The sequence below is a fragment of the Homo sapiens genome, chromosome 2 (assembly GCF_000001405.40).
Source record: "Homo sapiens chromosome 2, GRCh38.p14 Primary Assembly".
NCBI classification, from domain to species: Eukaryota; Metazoa; Chordata; class Mammalia; order Primates; family Hominidae; genus Homo; species Homo sapiens.
This window is the reverse complement of record NC_000002.12, coordinates 200,988,538-201,008,330: the sequence shown is the minus strand read 5'-3', so window position 1 is coordinate 201,008,330 and position 19,793 is coordinate 200,988,538. Positions and strand designations below refer to the sequence as shown.

General features: G+C 41.0%; 1 protein-coding gene and 1 long non-coding RNA gene across 22 annotated transcripts in view; one reads left to right on the top strand and one right to left on the bottom strand.

Moving 5' to 3' along the window:
* Positions 1-19,793, bottom strand: part of LOC105373835 (uncharacterized) — a 55,639-nt gene that overhangs the window by 10,740 nt on the left and 25,106 nt on the right. The gene's annotated exons all lie outside the window — the stretch shown is intronic.
* Positions 1-19,793, top strand: part of HYCC2 (hyccin PI4KA lipid kinase complex subunit 2) — a 97,954-nt gene that overhangs the window by 63,341 nt on the left and 14,820 nt on the right. For all 20 annotated transcript variants that reach the window (NM_001321618.1, NM_001321624.1, NM_173822.5 and 17 more), the window contains 3 exons: positions 10,791-10,886; positions 15,328-15,444; positions 15,963-16,050. In NM_001321618.1, coding sequence (NP_001308547.1) covers positions 10,791-10,886; positions 15,328-15,444; positions 15,963-16,050 — 301 coding nt within the window. The remainder of the gene's footprint in view (positions 1-10,790; positions 10,887-15,327; positions 15,445-15,962; positions 16,051-19,793) is intronic.

Here is a 19,793-nt window from a genome sequence, read left to right as displayed (position 1 = left end):
CAGTGTAAAAAGTGGATGTGCAGTCAGTCAAACCAGGATTCATATTCTAGTACTGCAATTTAGAAATTTTTCCCTCAGACAGTTTATCTACTCTGTACACCTTGCTTTCTTGGTTGCAGAATGGGATTCGTACCTGAAATTTTACAGTTTGAGGGACAGGTTGCAAAATTGCCCTCACTTCTGACTAATTGAAAGTTTTGGGAGTTCCCAAAACCAAACTCTTGTTTGATAATTTGCTAGAAGGACTCACAGGATTCACTGAAAGCCATTATACTCACAGTTATGGTTTATTACAGGGAAAGAATAGAGATTAAAATCAGCCAAAAGAGACACATATAGTAGAATATGAAGGGTTTCAAACACAAAGCATCTGTTGTCCTTTCCCCTGAAGTCAGGATACATTACCCTCCTGGCATCAATGCATGACAGTAAACACAAAGTATTGGTAATGGGAGAGGCTCATTTAAGCTCTGGTTTCCAGAGTTTTTTTTATTGAGGCATCATTATGTAGGCATGATTGATTAGGTTGATTGCCTACTTGGTTGATCTCAGCCTCCATGTGGACTGATGCAGTGTGACCCAGAGCTACCACCTTAAATCACACGGCAGTTCTTTCTGGCATGGCCAACTCCTACCTAAGAAAGTCAGATGTGGTCAGTCCGGCCTGAAGTTCTGGTGTTACCAGTCTCGGCCCTAAACAAAGACTCTTTATCAGATTAACTTCCTAGGAGCAAAGGCCAGATGTCTCTTTGGGCAAGGCCAGTTTATAGATGGCCCATGAATTATTATGGTTCAACTTAAGGTTTTTCAACTTTACAATGGTATCAAAGCAATATGCATTCAATAAAAACTGTACTTCAAGTACCTATGTAAACCTTCTCATTTTTACTTTCAGTACAGTATTCAGTAAATTACATGAGATACTCAATTTTATGATAAATATAAAATAGGCTTTGTGTTAGATGATTTTTGCCCAGCTGTAGGGCTAATGTAAGTGTTCTGAGCACATTTAAGGTAGGCTGGACTATGCTATGATGTTCAGTAGGGTAGATGTATTAAATGCTTTTTTGACTTATGATATTTTCGATTTACAATGGGTTTATTGGTATGCAATTCCATCATAGGTCGAGAAACACCTGTATTTATTATACAGGCTGTCCCCTGGTCTTTGGCCAAGGCTCAAAAATGATCATGTTTATCTGGGCATCTACATTTAGTATAGCATTTATATGACAGATACTATCATTATGAATATGCCTAACATTTGGAGGAGCCAGTGTAGGTTACAGATAGATTTAAAGAAATAACTAATTCATCCTTTAATGTTTGCATATATTTTCATATTTTTGCACAAATTTGATTACCTCACCCCTCTTCTTTATCTACCTTGTGGTAAACTTGTGCAGCACTATTTGTCATAGAAATTAGTTAATGATTAGCTAAATTTAGTTCCTCCTCAGGCAAGTCATGTTCCATTAGTATTCATTCTAAGGAGGCTTCAATTCAATTTCCAATACATATGACCAATATTATAACCTTACCAACAATGCCAATATTATACCATGTCACAGGATGGCAGTAAATGAAACCTGAAAAATAAGAGCCAAAGATACTGGCACATTCATAGAGTGCCAGTCAGTCATTAACAATTATCCCAGTTCATCATCATATATGACCAAAATATCTCCCAGAGAGAAGTCACTCAAGTTTACAGACTTCTGTTTAGCCTTATTAAGTTCTAAAAGCAGGAGTGGCCTCACAAACACTTGACTTTTACTCTTTCAGGCATCTAGTATAATTGAGCTAATAGTATCATCTCTTGCTCTGAGTGTCTTCCAAGGTGCTAATGTATTTCCCACATTGCAAAACTCATTTATTCATTTAAAAAAATCTCGCCAGGTGCGGCTCATGCCTGTAATCCCAGCACTTTGGGAGGCCGATGCAGGTGGATCACCTGAGGTCAGGAGTTCAAAACCAGCCTGGCCAATGTGGCAAAACCCTATCTCTGCTAAAAAATACAAAAAAAAAAAAAAAATTAACCAGGCGTGGTGGTGGGTGCCTGTAATCCCAGCTACTTGAGAGGCTGAGGGAGGGACAATCACCTGAACCAAGGAGGCAGAGGTTGCAGTGAGCTGAGATCACGCCAGTGCACTCCAGCCTGGGTGACAGAGCAAGACTCCGTCTCAAAAAAAAAAAAAAAGCCAGGCGCGATAGCTCACGCCTGTAATCTCAGCACTTTGGGAGGCTGAGGCAGGCGGATCACAAGGTCAGGAGTTCGAGACTAGCCTGGCCAACATGGTGAAACTCTGTCTCTACTGAAAACACAAAAGTTAGCCAGGCGTGGTGGCGCATGCCTGTAATCCCAGCTACTCAGGAGGCTGAGACAGGAGAATCGCTTGAACCCGGGGAGGCGGAGGTTGCAGTGAGCCAAGATCGTGCCATTGCACTCCAGCCTTGGCGACAGAGTGAAACTCCGTCTCAGAAAAAATAAATAAATAAATAAAAATAACAAAATAAAAAATAAAAAATCTCAGCTACTATTTCTCTCTCTCTTCATTTGTACTCCGACTTTTCTACCTTGGAGAGAGGTTAGGTTTGACCATCGTGTTGGTCTCTATTTCTGGCAGCAAAACTGGCTAGCAAGTGCCTCCCTATCAATTCACTCCCAAGGATGTAGGGTATATTTATATAAAGAACTAATGTGCTATCACAACTAGGCGATAAATATACATTCTCTGTCAATCCTAATTTTGCCAGATGGAATGAAGGCATAGCCTAGCCCATCAGGCCTTTAGGAATTCTGACATAAAGATTTGAAGGTGTAGTTCCGGTTTTTTTGCTTAGGAATCATCTCTGCTCCTTGCACCCACAGTTGCAGCACTGGTACTGGAACCACTGCCTTAGGTGGGAAAAAAAAATGTTGAGGTGATGTGGAAAAGACGGGAAAAAAGTGTAGTAATACCACCACCTTCTGTCACTATGAGAATAACAGAATAGTAATGATGACTATTCCAGCATCATCTCTCCACTGCCTAATCCCAAACCCCCCCAGAAAAACAGAGGAATCTCTCCAGTGATAATTGGCCCTCCCTTGGCCCCGCTCAGGTTAAGTACACAGTCATGAAGGCCTATAAGCCAACCCTTCATACCTGTATCTCACCCCCAGCCTTTTAGACCAAAAATATCTCATTTGATTGTTCCAATTATTTTCATTTTTCAATTGCTTTCATTCCACGCAATTGCTTGTTCCATTACCCTGAGGATGTCTCTTTGCCCACTGTTGGACTTTTGGTCTTTTTTTTTTTTTTTTTTTTGAGATGGAGTCTTGCACTGTTGCCCAGGCTGGAGTGCAGTGGCACGATCTCGGCTCAGTGCAAACTCCGCCTCCTGGGTTCACACCATTCTCCTGCCTCAGGCTCCCAAGTAGCTGGGACTACAGGCGCCCGCCACCATGCCTGGCTAATTTTTTGTACTTTTAGTAGAGACGGGGTTTCACTGTGTTAGCCAGGATGGTCTCGATCTCCTGACCTCGTGATCCACCTGCCTCGGCCTCCCAAAGTGCCGAGGGATTACAGGCGTGAGCCACTGCACCCGGCCATTGGACTTTTGGTCTTTAAAGTGTGTTTCTTGCTCCAAAAATGTAGCTAAGCAGTCCATATGGGTACAATATCTTCTGGTCCTTTTACAGTACTCTGAGCATTTGATCCACAATCTGATAAGCAAAACCTAATGCAGTGTCTGTTCCTGTCAGGACCCATTTGTGGCCTCCAGAGACTGCTGGCATCTGTTTGGCTTGCCAGCTATGTGCAGGACCTTCCCCCAGAGGAATCTGCCCCATAGCCATCTGCAGTCTTTGTCTGTTTTATTGGCATTTTATGCCTCAGAGGGTACAAAAAATATGTCTAAATTCAACCCATCTCTGCATTGCTGCAGTACCACCATGTCCACTCATTTCATGGACCCAAGTGATCACTCCAGGTGGCTACACAGGGATATTTGCCCATAGGTGCCAGTCACCTGATTCTAGAAGGGAGTTCTCCTGATGTGCATTGACATATCCTACTTATGCACGCTTCAAATTCCCATAGTGATTTCCATATGCCTGTTTTTTTCCATACAGGCACCCCTTTATTAGGCCAGTTTTATATTACCCTTCTGCCTGACCACATGGCCAGGCCACTGGCCACCACTCATAAGCTGATAAAAACCCAAACAGGCCAGGCATGGTGGCTCACGCCTGTAATCCCAGCACTTGGGGAGGCTGAGGCGGGTGGATCACCTGAGGTCAGGAGTTTGAGACCAGCCTGACCAAAACATGGTGAAACCCTGTCTCACTAAAAATACAAAAAATTAGTTGGGCGTGATGGTGGGCACCTGTAATCCTAGCTACTCGGGAGGCTGAGGCAGGAGAATCACTTGAACCCAGAAGGCAGAGGTTTTGCAGTGAGCCGAGATTGTGCCACTGTACTGCATCCTGGGCAACAAGGGTGAAATCCATCTCAAAAAAAAAAAAAAAAAAAAAAAAGCAACAACAACAACAAAAAACCCAAACATAGCGGCAAACTGCATGCAATTCAGCCAACCTGCTAAGCTGATATGTTTTCACTTTTTTTTTTTTTTTTAAGATGGAGTCTCGCTCTGTCGCCCAGGCTGGAGTGCAGTGGCGCGATCTCTGCTCACTGCAACCTCCGCCTCCCAGGTTCAAGCGATTCTCCTGTCTCAGCCTCCTGAGTAGCTGGGATTACAGGCGCACGCCACCATGCCTGGCTAATTTTTGTATTTTTAGTAGAGATGGGGTTTCACCATTTTGGTCGGGCTAGTCTTGAACCCCTGACCTTGTGATCCACCCACCTCAGCCTCCCAAAGTGCTGGGATTACAAGTGCAGTGGTGCGATCTCAGCTCACTGCAGCCTTCACCCCACTAGTTGAAGCTATTCTCCTGCCTCAGCTTCCCAGCCCAGCTTTTTAAAGAATAAGTCTTGGGCTGGACACATTGGTTCATGCCTATAATCCTAGTGCATGGATTGAGGTGGGAGGATCACTTGAGGCCAGGACTTCAAGAACAGCCTGGACAGTATAGCAAGACCCGATCTCTTAAAAAATAGCTGAGTGTGGTGATACATGCCTATGGTCCTAGGTACTCTGGAGGCCGAGGCTGGAGGACCAAGCCCAGGAGTTTGAGGCTGCAGTAAGCTATGATTGCACCACTGCACTCCAACCTGGGCAACAAAGCGAGACCCAATCTCTTAAAAAAATTTTGTATTTCTTTCTCTAGTGGCACATAGATATCTTATTCTTTTTAATGATGAGTTATTATTCCATTTTATGTATGTACCATCAATTTTTAGCCAGTCTCTTATTGAGTAAATTTAGATTGTTTTCAGTTTTTTGCTGCTATAAACAATATTACAGGGAACACATTTTTTGTACATACATTTGCGTGAGAGCACGAAAAGTATCTATAGGATAAATTCCTAGCAGTGAATTGTTACGCTAAATAATATCTGTGGCCGGGTGCAGTGGCTCACGCTTGTAATCCCAGCACTTTGGGAGGCCGAGGTGGGTGGATCACGAAGTTAGGAGTTCGAAACCAGCCTGGCCAACACAGTGAAACCCGTCTCTACTAAAAATACAAAAATTAGCTGGGCGTGGTGGCAGGTGCCTGTAATCCCAGCTACTCGGGAGGCTGAGGCAGGAGAATCGCTTGAACCCGGGAGGCGGAGGTTGCAGTGAGCCAAGATCGCGCCACTGCACTCCAGCCTGGGTGACAGAGGAAGACTCCATCTCAAAAAAAAAAAAAAGAATCTCTGCTTTTTTAGTTGGAGTAGATATTGTCAAATTAGCCTTGCCAAAGCAACTATACCAATTGAATGTCCTACTAGTAGTTTGAGAGTTTTTCCTCCTACTAACTCCCAATACTGATTATTTTCAAAGTTTTTAATCTTTACCAATCTGATAGTTAAAAACTGGTGTCACATTGTTATTCATTATTGTTTTTCTTTACCTATGAACTGCATATTCATGTCCTTTGTCCTTTTTTTTTTTTTTTGGCTGATTGGTGGGAGAGGTTTGTTTCACTGTATTGCCCAGGCTGGTCTCAAATTCCTGGGCTCAAGCAGTCCTCCCACCTCGACCTCCCAAAGTGCTGGGATTATAGATGTGAGCCACTGTGCCCAGCCCCATTTTTCTTATTGAGCTGTGTATTTTTTTTTTTTTCCTGGTGACTTGCAATAGTTCTTTGAATATTGAGGAATTGACACTGGTTTTTCATGTTGCACGTTTTCAGCTAATTATTGACTTTACATTTATTTTTTAAATTGAGATATAATTCACATACCATAAAATTTACCCCTTTAGGGAGCCAGGCACAGTGGCTCATGCCTATAATCCCAGCACTTTGGGAAGCTGAGGCAGGTGGATTACTGGAGGCCAGGAGTTTGAGGCCAGCTTAGCCAACATGGTGAGACCCTGTCTCTACTAAAAATACAAAAATTAGCCGGGTGTGGTGGCTCATGCCTGTAATCCCAGCTACTGGGTGGCTGAGGCAGGAGAATCACTTGAACCCAGGAGGCGGAGGTTGCAGTGAGCCGAGATTGTGCCACTGCACTCTAGCCTGGCGGCAGAGCAAGACTCTGTCTCAAAAAAAAAAATAAAAATAGAAATAAAATTTACCCCTTTAAAGCATACAATTGAGTAGTTTTTATTACTAGACATTTTACATGAATGGATCCATACAATATGTTGCCTTTTGTGTATGGCTTCTTTCACTTAGCATGTTTACAAGGTTTGTTTCTGTGGTAGAATGTATCAGTACTTTCTTTTTATAACTAAATAATATTTCATTGTGTGGATATACCACATTTTATTTATCCATTCATCAGTGGATGGACATTCGAGTTATTTCTATTTTTTCTTTTTTGGCTGTTATGAATAACTCTGCTCTCTTTAGTCTATTTGGGCTGCTATAACAAAATACCTTAGACTGGGTAATATATAAACGATAGAAATGTATTGCTCACAGTTCTGCAGATTCGAAAGTACAAGCTTAAAGTGCCAGCAGATTCAGTGTCTAGTAAGGGCTCATAGTCTCTGCCTCATAGATGGCACCTTCTAGATAATCAAATGTAGGAGGGCAGAGCTGTCATGACCTAATCGTGTCCCAAAGGCCCCATCTCTTTTTTTTTTTTTTTTTTGAGACAGAGTCTAGCTCTGTCACCCAGGCTGGAGTGCAGTGTCACGATCTTGGCTCACTGCACCCTCTGCCTCCTGGGTTCAAGTGATTCTCCTGCCTCAGCCACTTGAATAGTTGGTACTACAGGTGTGCAACACCGTGCCTGGCTAATTTTTTTTTTTTTTTTTTGTAGAGACAGGGTTTCACTATGTTGGCCAGGCTGGTCTTGAACTCCTGACCTCAGGTGATCCACCTGCCTTGGCCTCCCAAAGTGCTGGGATTATAGGCATGAGCCACCTTGCCCAGCTGCAAAGGCCCCACCCTCTTAATACCACCATATCGATGATTAAGTTTCAACATGAATTTAGACCACAACAGCTGTTTTGAACATGCATTCACAAATTTTTGTGTGAACATACATTTTTCAGTTCTTTTTAGTATATACCTAGGAATAGAATTGCTAGGTCATATGGTAATTCAACACTTAACTTCTTGAGGAACTGTCATGCTTCTTTCCAGAGTAGCTGTACCATTTTACGTTTCTACAACAGTGTATGAGGATAGCAGTTTCTCTACATTCTCACGCTTATTTTCCATCTTTTTTATTGTAGCCATCTTAATGGGTATAAAGAGTGATATGGCATTCTGGTATTTACTTGTTTTTGCTGTATGTTTTAGTTTTTTATGTAGCCAACTTTATCAGGAATACACATACATTTTTTTCCCCAAAGCTAAATATGCTTTAGCTCTGCATATTTTTCTTTTTTTCTTAAGACAGGGTCTTGCTTTGTTGCCCAGGCTGGTGTGCAGTGGCATGATCATGGCTTACTGCAGCCTGCACCCTAGAACCCCTGAGCTCAGGTGCTCCTCCTGAGCTCAAGTACTCCTGCCTCAGCTTCCTGAGTAACTAGGACTACCACCATGGCCCGCTAATTAAAAAAATTATTTTTGTACCAACAGGGTCTCAATATGTTACCCAGGCTGCTCTTGAATGCGTGAGCTCAAGCAATCCTCCCTGCCTCAGCCTCCCAAAGTGCTGGGATTTCAGGAATGACCTACTGGACGGAGCCTCCTATTTCTTTTTTTTTTTTTTTTTTTTTTTGAGACGGAGTCTTGCTCTGTTGCCCAGGCTGGAGTGCAGTGGCATGATCTCAGCTCACCATAACCTCCGCCTCTCGGGTTCGAGTGATTCTCCTGCCTCAGCTTCCCGAGTAACTGGGACTACAGGCGCGCGCCACCATGCCCAGCTAATTTTTGTATTTTTAGTAGAGATGGGGTTTCACTATGTTGGCCAGGCTGGTCTCGAACTCCTGACTGTATGATCCGCCTCGGCCTCCCAATGTGCTGGGATTACAGATGTGAGCCACTGCGCCCAGCCCTTCTATTTCTTTATAGTCTCTTTTTCATCCTAGTAGAGTTCCTTAGATGTCTGGCAACCTTTTTTCCCTCATGTTTAAGAATAGGGGAATAGGCTGGGTGCGGTGGCTCACGCCTGTAATCCCAGCACTTTGGGAGGCCGAGGCAGGCAGATCACCTGAGGTCAGGAGTTCGAGACCAGCCTGGCCAAAATAGTGAAACCCTGTCGCTACTAAAAATACAAAAAAAAATTAGCCAAGTGTAGTGGTGGGCACCTGTAATCCCAGCTACTTGGGAGGCTGAGGCAAGAGAATGGCTTGAACCTGGGAGGCGGAGGTTGCAGTGAGCCGAGATCATGCCATTATACTTCAGCCTGGGTGACAAGACCGAGACTCTGTCTCAAAAAAAAAAAAGTGGGGAGAGGGAATAAAAAATGAGAAGCTCTGACCATGTTAATATATGGCTGATTTGAGCTAGTATTGGTGCAAAAGTTATTGTGGTTTTGCCATTTAAAAAATTTTTTTTAAAGTTTTGCACCAACTTAGTAACTGACTATAAACTTCACCATAGGATCCCACTAGGCCATTCATTTGGAAAATTTCCCAAGTCCATATCTTTAAGTCTTTCTTCTTAGAGTGGTCAAATTCCCTAGAAACAACTCTTCTGGTATCTTAACTAGAGATCTTTTTGCTAGTATTTTGGTGGCAAACTGGCAATATCTAGGCAGGTATATTTCACTTCACTTAATCTTCCTATTTTCAGTTTGGCATCCACCCCCATCACAGCTAGGGCTCCCAGGTAGAAATTAGTTTTTATCCTTTCAGAGAATAAATCTCCATTCTTTTACCTAGATATATGGAGAAAGTGAAGGGATCTGAAAGTATGGCTGCTTCCAGATCAGACTTTCAGCTTGATTTTTAACTTTTCATTTTGAAATAACTTCAGACTTACAAAAAACATTGCTAAAATAGTACAAAGAGTTTCCATAAACCCTTCACCATTCATCTATGGGAAGCTTTTTAGAGGTACAACTTCCCTAGTTCCTACCCGAGGATTTAAGTGGGTCAACTGGGTTAAGACATAGAAGTGTATGTTTTTAAAAAGGTCTCTAAATAACTAATGTGCATCCAGATTTAGGAGCCACTTTCTTAGACATTATAAATGTTAGGAAAGCATTTATTTATTCATTCAACAAGTATTTATTAAACAATTATGTATTAGACACCGTGCTGGACACCAATGATAGAGATTAATAAATCAGGATCTCTGTTCTAAAGTTGCTTTATTACTAAACGGGTGAAAGAGACATAGAGGCGTAAAATTACAATTCAGTGGGATAAATGCTATGTTAGAGCTACAGAGGTAAGGGACTGGTTTACTTTAGCAGAGAGAATTAAGAAGGGCTTTATGGCTAAGGTAAAAATTTGATCTAGGACTTGAAATCTTATCAGGAATCACCCAAGTAAAAAAGCATATTCTATTAAGAAGGAGCAGCAAGCATTAAAGCAAGGGATTCTGAATGGTTACAGCATATTGTTGGAATGGTAAGAAGATTGATAAAGTGTGGTATATGTGGTTGGTAATGGAGAGAAATAAGGCTGGAGAGGAAGGATGAGGGTGGATTTTAAAGTACCTTGTAAGAAGGACTTTGATTTTAAAGGACCTTGTGATAAGTTTGGATTTTATTATGAAGTCAGTAGGAAGATGGTAGACTTATTCATAGGGGAGTCATCTGTTCAAGCATGATTGATTGATTGATTGATTTTTTGAGATGGAGTCTCACTCTGTTGCCCGGGCTGGAGTGCAGTGGCACAGTCTCGGCTCACTGCAACCTCCGCCTCCCGGGTTCAAGCAATTCTCCTGCCTCAGCCTTCTGAGTAGCTGGGACTACAGGCATGTGCCACCACACCTGCCTAATTTTTGTATTTTTAATAGAGACGGGGTTTCACCGTGTTAGCCAGGATGGTCTCGATCTTCTGACCTTGTGATCCACCCACTTCGGCCTCCCAAAGTGCTGGGATTACAGGCATGAGCCCCTGCACCTGGCCTGATTTATTTTTTAAAAACGGAAATATAGATGACAAGATGACAGCAAGGGTTATGATTTGTAATAAGGAGAATATAAACAGGGAAACCTTTGAGGAAGATGCTATATTGATTTGATTAAGAAATCATAAAGGTCAATATTAAGGCATTGTCATAACCAGTTGCTAGTAGAAGTAATTATTTGTAATCCTTTTAACCTTGCATTTGTTGTTTTTAGGTTTGAAGTCCTGAGTTTTCTCATGCTGTGTTATAATTCTGCTATTGTATATATGCCTGCCTCATCTTACCAATCTCTTTGTCGGATGGGTTCCAGGTGAGAAGAGTGATTATTACTAATCTTCATATTTATTTGATAGATATTTATTGAGCACATTCTCTAAGCCAAGCACTGTTCTAACTTCTGGTATTACAGCAGTAAACAAAACTCATGGAGCTTGCATTCCTGTAGGAGTCCTTATCCTCATGAGGCTGTTTTTGTTGTTGTTGTTGTTTTGGTTTTTTATGAGATAGGATTTCTCTCTGTCGCCTAGGCTGGAGTACAGTGGCTCAATCATAGCTCACTGTGCCCTCAGCCTTCTTGGCTCAAGGGATCCTCCCGCCTGGGCCTCCCAAGTAGCTGGGACCACAGGTGTACACCACGACTCTCAGCTAATTTTTGTAGAGAAAGGGTCTTGCTATGTTGCCCAGGTTTGTCTTGAAGTTCTGGCCTCAAGCATTCTTGCCACATCAGCCTTCCAAAGTGCTGCGAGTACAGGTGTGAGCCACCATGCCTGGCCTCGTGCATTCTTGAAAATGTTTTCAGCATTAAAGAAATATTTTCTAGCTGAACGTGGAGTTGTACCAAGACATCCAAATCTAGGGTTGTTTAGTGATATATCTTATTCCCTGGTTGCCAGTTTTTGTAAATCACTTTGAGATCTTTGAAAAAAAATAGTGCTATATATGGGGAAAGTCTTAAGGAATATGAACCTCTTCCCATACATTTCATAAATAACTGTCTCTGTGTTGGAGAAAGTGATTAGCAATAGTACCAATGATGTGTGTGTCTCATTTGTATGTAGGGGGTGGATATTCTGTATCTCATGGATTATAATCTTTACTAAATCATAATTTCTAATAATTTGGACAGACCTAGGCTTAAATCTTGTTCTGTCACCCAGACTGGAGTGCAGTGGTGCCATATTGGCTCATTCAACCTTTGCCTCTCAGGTTCAAGTGATCTTCTCACCTCAGTCTCCTGAGTAGTTAGGACTACAGGTGCCCACCACCATGCTGGGCTATTTTTTTTTTTTAAAAGAGACCAGGTTTCACAATGTTGCACAGGCAGGTCACAAACTCCTGGGATTAAGTGATCTGCCTGCCCTGGCCTTCCAAAGTGCTAGGATTACAGGCATGAGCCACCACACCTGGCGTTAAATTTCTACCATAGAAAAAATGTAGGCCAGGGTCAGTGGCCCATGCCTGTAATCCCAGCATGATGGGAGGCCAAGGCCTGAGGTCAGGAGTTTGAGACCAGCCTGGCCAACGTGGTGAAACCCTGTCTCTATACAAAAATACAAAAATTAGCTGGGTGGTAGCGCATGCCTATAATCCCAGCTATTTGAGAGGCTGAGGCATGTGGATCACTTGAACCTGGTAGGCAGGGTTGCAGTGATCTGAGATCACGCCACTGCACTCCAGCCTGGGCGACAGAGTGACACCTTGTCTCAAAAAAAAAAAAAAAAAAAAAGAAAAAAGAAAAATTTAAGTGATACAAATTAGTTCAGAGACAATGGATGTTTAGAGGCACAGAAGTTCAGTTATAGAAGGAATTCTGAATTCAGCCTTTCAAAATGATTTTTACTTGAGGATATCAATCCCCCAAAAAGGTTAAATGTTGTGTTAGTTTTCTATTACTGCATAATAAATTGCTACAAATTGAGCAGGGTAAAACATCACACATCTATTATTTCACAGTTTTTGTGGGTCAGGAATCCAGATGGCTTAGCTGGGGTCCTCTGCTCCTCTGCTTAGCATCTTAGAAGACTGCAGTTAAGATGTTAGCTGGAGTTGCAGTCTCATCTGAGGCTCAGAAGTTTTGTTGGCAGAATTGAGTTCCTGTGGCTGTAGGACTGAGGGCTTCAGTTTTTTGTAGCTGTGTGCTGGAAGCCATCCTTTGCTCCTTGTCATATTGGCCTCCCAACACAGGCAACCTACAACATGGCAGCTTGCTTCTTCAACGTGGGAGGAGTGAGACTCCAGCAAGACCTGTTACCTTATGTAACGTACTCACGTACACATAATCATGGAATCCCATCACCTTTGCCTTATTCTGCTGGTTAGAAGCAAGCTGTAGATCCCACCCGTGCTGAAGGGGAAGGGCATGACACAGTGTGAATACCAGAAAGATCATAGGGATCATGGCTCTCCAAGAGTCTGTCCACCACAAGTGCTTTGCTCAAGGTCACATGCTATTTTGTTACTGGGAAGAGATCCTGCTTATAACAAAACTTATTAATTTTGCCCATCTAAATTAGCTGTTACTTTGATTTTATAGATTACTTAAAAATATGTTTCTCTTAACTGTAATACCATGATTAACAAAATTCTTGTCTCTAATTTAGATGCTACTTAAGCACTTACTCCCTATCTGCAGATAAACTTATTTATAATTCATTACTTTTGGTTCATTAAAAGAAAACTGCTTGTTCTCTTATTGGCAACATTATTGTGGCCTTCAATAGAATTTTTTTCTTTCTTTTTTTTTTTTTTTGAGAGAGTCTTCCTTTGTCACCCAGGCTAGAATGCAGTGGCACAATCATTATACATAGCTCACTGCAGCCTCGAACTCCTAGGCTCAAGCAGTCCTTCCACCCCAGCCTGTTTATTAGCTATGACTATAGGGATGTGCCACCATACTTGGCTAATTTTTAAATTTGTTATAGAGATGGGGTCTCACCGTGTTGTCCAGGCTGGTCTTGAACTCCTGGCCTCAAGTGATCTTCCTACCTTGGTCTCCCAGAGTACTGGGATTACAGGCATGAGTCACCACACCCAGCCTAATAGAATTTCTTAATAACAAAAATGATGGCGGAGTTTAGTGGTCCTCAAACTTTTGTTCTTTTGTTCATATATCCTCTACAGAATTTTGAAAAACTATGTATGTACTCCTTGTACATTGTTAAGTTGACATTAAAAAATTTTCATCCTATCTTAAATAGGTAGAAATGATATAATTTCTAGGCCAGGCGCGGTGGCTCATGCCTCTAATCCCAGCACTTTGGGAGTCCAAGGTGGGCAGATCACCTGAGGTCAGGGGTTTGAGACCAGCCTGGCCAACATAGTGAAACCCCATCTCTACTAATTAGCCGGGAGTGGTGGCACATGCCTGTAGTCCACTACTTGGGAGGCTACTCGGGAGGCTGAGGCAGGTGAATTGCTTGAAACTGGGAGGCAGAGGTTGCAGTGAGCCGAGATCAGGCCACTGTACTTCCAGTCTGCGCGGCAGAGCGAGACTCCGTCTCCAAAAAAAAAAGGAAATGATATAATTTCTAGTATGGAAGTATCTACATAATTAAAAAAATAACTGTTGGGTCACTGTTTTAAATATATGTAATGTAAATACCATAGTGGTGTGATACTCACCATCATCCATTTGAGGAATAAATGAAGAAACTTTTCTTTAATGGTCTAACATTACATTTATTCCTTTTTCTCCTTGAAATTGAAGAAGAAATTTCCATTCCCCTTTCCCCACATGGTTTTATCTTAATATAATGCTATTTTTATTTATTTATTTATTTATTTTTGAGACAGAGTCTCACTCTGTCACCCAGGCTGGAGTGAAGTGGCGTGATCTCGGCTCACTGCAAGCTCCACTTCCCAGGTTCACGCCATTCTCGTAGCTGGGACTACAGGCACCCGCCACCATGCCCGGCTAATTTTTTTTTTTTGTATTTTTAGTAGAGACGGGGTTTCACCGTGTTAGCCAGGATGGTCTTGATCTCCTGACCTCGTGATCCGCCTGCCTCAGCCTCCCAAAGTGCTGGGATTACAGGCGTGAGCCACCACGCCTGGCCATATAATGCTATTTTTAAATTGCAGGTCTTTTATTGTATGTCTCTGCTATAAAAAATATATAAACAATTAAAAAAAAATTTCCCAAGACCATAAGGCACTAAACACTGAAAGATTTCTTCTGGACTCACTATTATAATTATCTTACTAAATTAATTGATTAAATAATGTAGTATATTACAACTGTTGATCATTATCAAGCATAACTTTTTTGGAAGCATCACTTAATGAGATTGAATGGATGTTAGGGAGTTGTTTATAGTTCTTTGTTTAAAAATGGCCTCACAGACAACAGTATTTTGAAATGTCCTTTTGTTTTGAGATCTCTATACTTCCCAGTAATTCACCCTGATACAATTTGGGGTGAGTAAAAGTTAGACATTTTTGTGTGTATGTGTGTGAAGAGAAAGAAGGATGATTGCGAAAGAGATGATTAGCTATTTCAGAAAAGTTGCTTTTATGGGCAGTCCACTAGAATGAGTGCTTTATGAGAGCACAGATTTCGGATTTTTATTTTTTATTTTTTATCTTTCACCTGTTCACAACTGTATGCCTAGGCCCAGAACGATGACTGGTATATAACAGGCACTCAATATATACTTGAGGAATGAATAAATTGAATAAATGAATTTAGGAAAACAAAAACTATTTTATTTGATGAATCTGGAAATCACATGTTAAATAGTGTATTTTCCTAGGGTTTGTGTGAGTGGCTTTCCACGGCAACATGAAAAACACTGGAAAGAACTCTGTGGTCGAATAGTATTGGATCCTGAATTTATGGTGCAACTTCTCACAGGGGTTTATTATGCCATGTAAGTAGGTGGAATATAAAATTGTATGAATTCTTCCTAATGTTTAGAAACTTTGAATATTTCTCTTTCTTCCTTATCCGACACAATACTGAATCTTTTGTTCCATGATGGGCTTATCTTGTTTTTCTAATATGGTTTCCTTTTAGTACTTTTAAATAAGCCAAAATATAACATAACTAGTCATTAAAATTGGAGTCTAGAAATTGTCAGGTTTTCTGTATGGAAAACTATCTCTACATAGTTCATAACCCAGGTTTTCATGAACGCATTGAAAAGATTACTCTAAATATCAGCATGTAATAAAAACCAATTTATGTGAAGAAACATTTGTAAACATAATATTTAAAATCTGTTTTGTTTTTATAACCAAAAGTGGGATAGTTTATAAATGAAATGACGTAACACTTGGTATGAAAGTTTTGCTTCACAACCAAAATAGCAGGACTTGGAACAATTTAAAAAGTTGTGCTGAAGATTAGATATTTGCTCAAGAGTATAAATGATCTGCTTCTTCATAGGTATAATGGACAGTGGGACCTTGGCCAGGAAGTTCTTGATGATATCATTTATAGAGCCCAGCTAGAGCTTTTTTCTCAACCACTATTGGTAAGTTATTATCTTAACTCTTTATTAAATATACTGGTACCTAAAAAAGGTACTAGGTTAAAAATGTAAGACAATCCAAATAATTAGGGGAAAATTTGTATTCCATGATAACAGTTGGTTAACTGTTAGAGAAAAAACAAAATAGGTTTAGGTCCTTTCCACCTTCCAGTACCAAAATAAAGTTCAGATAAAGTGAATAACTAAACGTTTTGAAATCCTTTAAGAAAAGAGAGAAGAAAAGGTTCTAAATATTCAGATTTCTAGAGAAGGGAAGATTTCTAAGCATAAATGATAGGACAAGTCACTAAAATAAGATTGATTTGCCCACCTCCCCCCCCGGCCCCGACATAAACACCTAAATTCTAAGCCATTAGGATTTTGGGGGTTTTTTTGTTTCTTGTTTTGTATTTTTTTTATAGGGACAGGGTCTTTCTGTGTTGCCAAGGCTGGCCTCAGCCTCCCAGAGTGCTGGAATTACAGATGTGTGACACCACACCCAGCCTATTCCATCAGTTTTTTTAAATTTTTTATTTTTATTTTGTTTTTGATACGAAGTCTCTCTCTGCCACCCAGACTGGAGTGCAGTGGTGTGATCTTGGCTCACTGGAACCTCTGCCTCATGGGTTCAAGCGATCCTCCCATCTTAGCCTACCAAGTAGCTGGGATTGTAGGCATCACCATGCCCAGGTGATTTTTTCTTTTTTTTTTTTTTGAGACGGAGTCTTGCTCTGTCTCCTATGCTGGAGTGCAGTGGCGCTATCTCAGCTCACTGCAACCTCCGCCTCCTGGGTTCAAGCGATTCTCCTGCCTCAGCCTCCTGAGTAGCTGGGACTATAGGCGTGTGCCACCACACCTGGCTAATTTTTTATATTTTTAGTAGAGATGGGGTTTCACTGTATTAGCCAGGATGGTCTCGATCTCCTGACCTCGTGATCCACCCACCTCGGCCTCCCAAGCGAATTTTTGTATTTTTAGTAGAGATGGAGTTTCACTATGTTGAACAGGCTGGTTTTGAAATCCTGATCTCAAGTGATCTGCCTGCCTTGGCCTCCCAGAGTGCTGGGATTATAGGCATGAGCTACCACGCCTGGCCTCCATCACGTTTTTAAAAGCAAAATTAATATATGCAGGGCACAAACTGAGAAACATATTTTCAGCAGTCATGATACAAATAAGCAAATTAATATTTCATTCTATGTAAAAAGATTTTGTACTCTCCCACAAAATAAACAAATCTCCAACTGGTAAGTGATCAATTAAAAAACAAATGTAAGGCTGGGTGCAGTGGCTCATGCCTGTAATTCCAGCACTTTGGGAGGCTGAGGCGGGTGGATCACCTGAGGCCACAAGTTCAAGACCAGCCTGGCCAACGTGGCAAAACCCCGTCTCTACAAAAAAATACAAAATTTAAGGCCAGGGGCTGTGGCTCACACCTGTAACCCAGCACTTCGGGAGGCCGAGGCGGGTGTATCACGAGGTCAGGAGTTCAAGACCAGACTGTCCAAGATGGTGAAACCCCATCTCTACTAAAAATACAAAAAATTAGCTGGGCGCGGTGGCGGGCGCCTGTAATCCCAGCTACTTGGGAGGCTGAGGCAAAGAATTGCTTAAACCCGGGAGGTGGAGGTTGCAGTGAGCTGAAATCATGCCACTGCACCTCAGCCTGGGCAACAGAGTGAGACCCCATTTGAAAAAAAAAAAGAAAAAAAAATTTAGCGGGATGTGGTGGTGCACACTTGTAATTCCAGCTGCTTGGGAGGCTGAGGCATGATAATTGCTTGAACCTGGGAGGCAGAGGTTGCAGTAGGCTGAGATCATGCTACTGCACTCTAGCCTGGGTGACAGAGCAAGACCTTGTTTCAAAAAACAAAACAAAAAAAAATGTAAATATCCAGTAGTGAAGTGAGGAAGGCATTCTTTATGTTACAGTAGTAGTATGACACAACTCTGACTATCCCCTGAAGAAGCAGTTTGGTAATGTGTGTTTATTTCTTTGACCCTCTATCCCATGTCTAGCAATGTATTCCAGGAAACTAAACTTAAATTTAATACCAAAATTATAAATACCAAAGACAATGTATTATAAGCACAACATTACAGTTTTATTTCTAATTGCAAAGGAATAAAAACAGTCTAAATGTCCCACAGCAGAGAATGATTTAAGTTATATAATATTTACTTGATGAGATTATATATTTGAGGTTTTATATTAAAGGGAAGTGCTAGCTTGTATGAGGTAGAAAAACAGTATACAACTATTTTTTAGATCTAGACAGGACAGAGGAAACATACAAAATGCTATAATAGTTGTCTCGGTGATTTGACTATGGATTTTTATTCCTTTCCAATTTCCTAAGCTTTTTGTAATATTTTGATAACAGTATTCTTAAAATACTATTTTCTACTTGCAGCATTGTAAGAATACAGCTTTTTATTTTATTGTTTCAAAAAATTACTATTATTTTTTGAGACAGGGTCTCACTCTGTCACCTATACTGGAGTGCAGTGGTGTGATCACAGTTCACTGTAACATCCACCTTCCGGGCTCAAGTGGTCCTCCTGCCCCAGCCTCCTGAGTAGCTGGGACTACAGGTGCATACCAGCACACCCAGCAAATTTTCGTATTTTTTTGTGGAGACGAGATCTCACCATGTTGCCCAGTCTGGTCTCAAATTCCTGGACTCAAGTGATCTGCCTGCTTCAGCCTCTCAAAGTGGTGGGATTACAGGCATGAGCCACCTTGCCTGGCCCAGCTTCTCAAAAGCCATTTTATTTATATCATTTTTAAAATACTTTAAGCTAAATATAAATTTATTGAGGTAGCATTTGCAGTAATTCTCCATTTGAATTCCCATTTGTTTCCTAATCTTACCCTAAGAGTTATATTAAAACAAATGGATAAAAAGATTAAAAAATTATATCATCATAGTAGTACCTTGAACTTATGAATCTCTTTAAATTAATAGTTTATCCTTTCAACAATCTTGTAAATTAAGTAGAGGTGGCATTTCCAAGGCAATACAGGTAAAGAGATTAGTAACTCTAGTGTTACTAACAGTATTCTTTTATTGTCAGTGGTCTCTGAGGGACCCAGTAATAATACCCTTTTTCCCTATTCAAATCTAGAGCCACGTGATAAACAGAAAAATAGTTCGTAGATGGGGAACAAGTATTTTCATTACTGTTAAAAGCTAAATTGAAAGACTCAACTTTCCTTCACATCTAGACCTTGGAACAGCCCACTGGAAAGAATGTTTGAGTGAGCTGATCAGGCACACCTATCCAGGCTGCTTAATTCCACATGGGCTTGTCCAAGTGGAGAGGGAAGGAGCAAGACAATCCTTTAGCTCAAGATTTTTGCTAGATTAGTACAACCCAATTAGGAAACATGCATCAGTCAAATGGCAATTACCAGGTATGTCACTTTCCTTTTCAGGGAGCAGAAAATGGTAGGACAAAATGCCAGAAGTATTTAGGGAACATTTCTCCTCATGTAAACAGAAGAGTGGAGAACATCCTAATGTTTATCAGAGATTAAATTTTGCATGTTATTTATCATCTGAAGAATCAGACAATTCTAAATTGTCTCATAATCAGAGTTTATATGTTAATTCTTTCTTTGGAATGCTTTTTCTCTTTGAAAGTCAACAATTTTAAGGCATCAGTGGGGTATGTGACTCATATTTTAGAAATTCTCATTTGAAAAGCCTGCTTAAAAGAATACAGAACAACAAAGATATGTT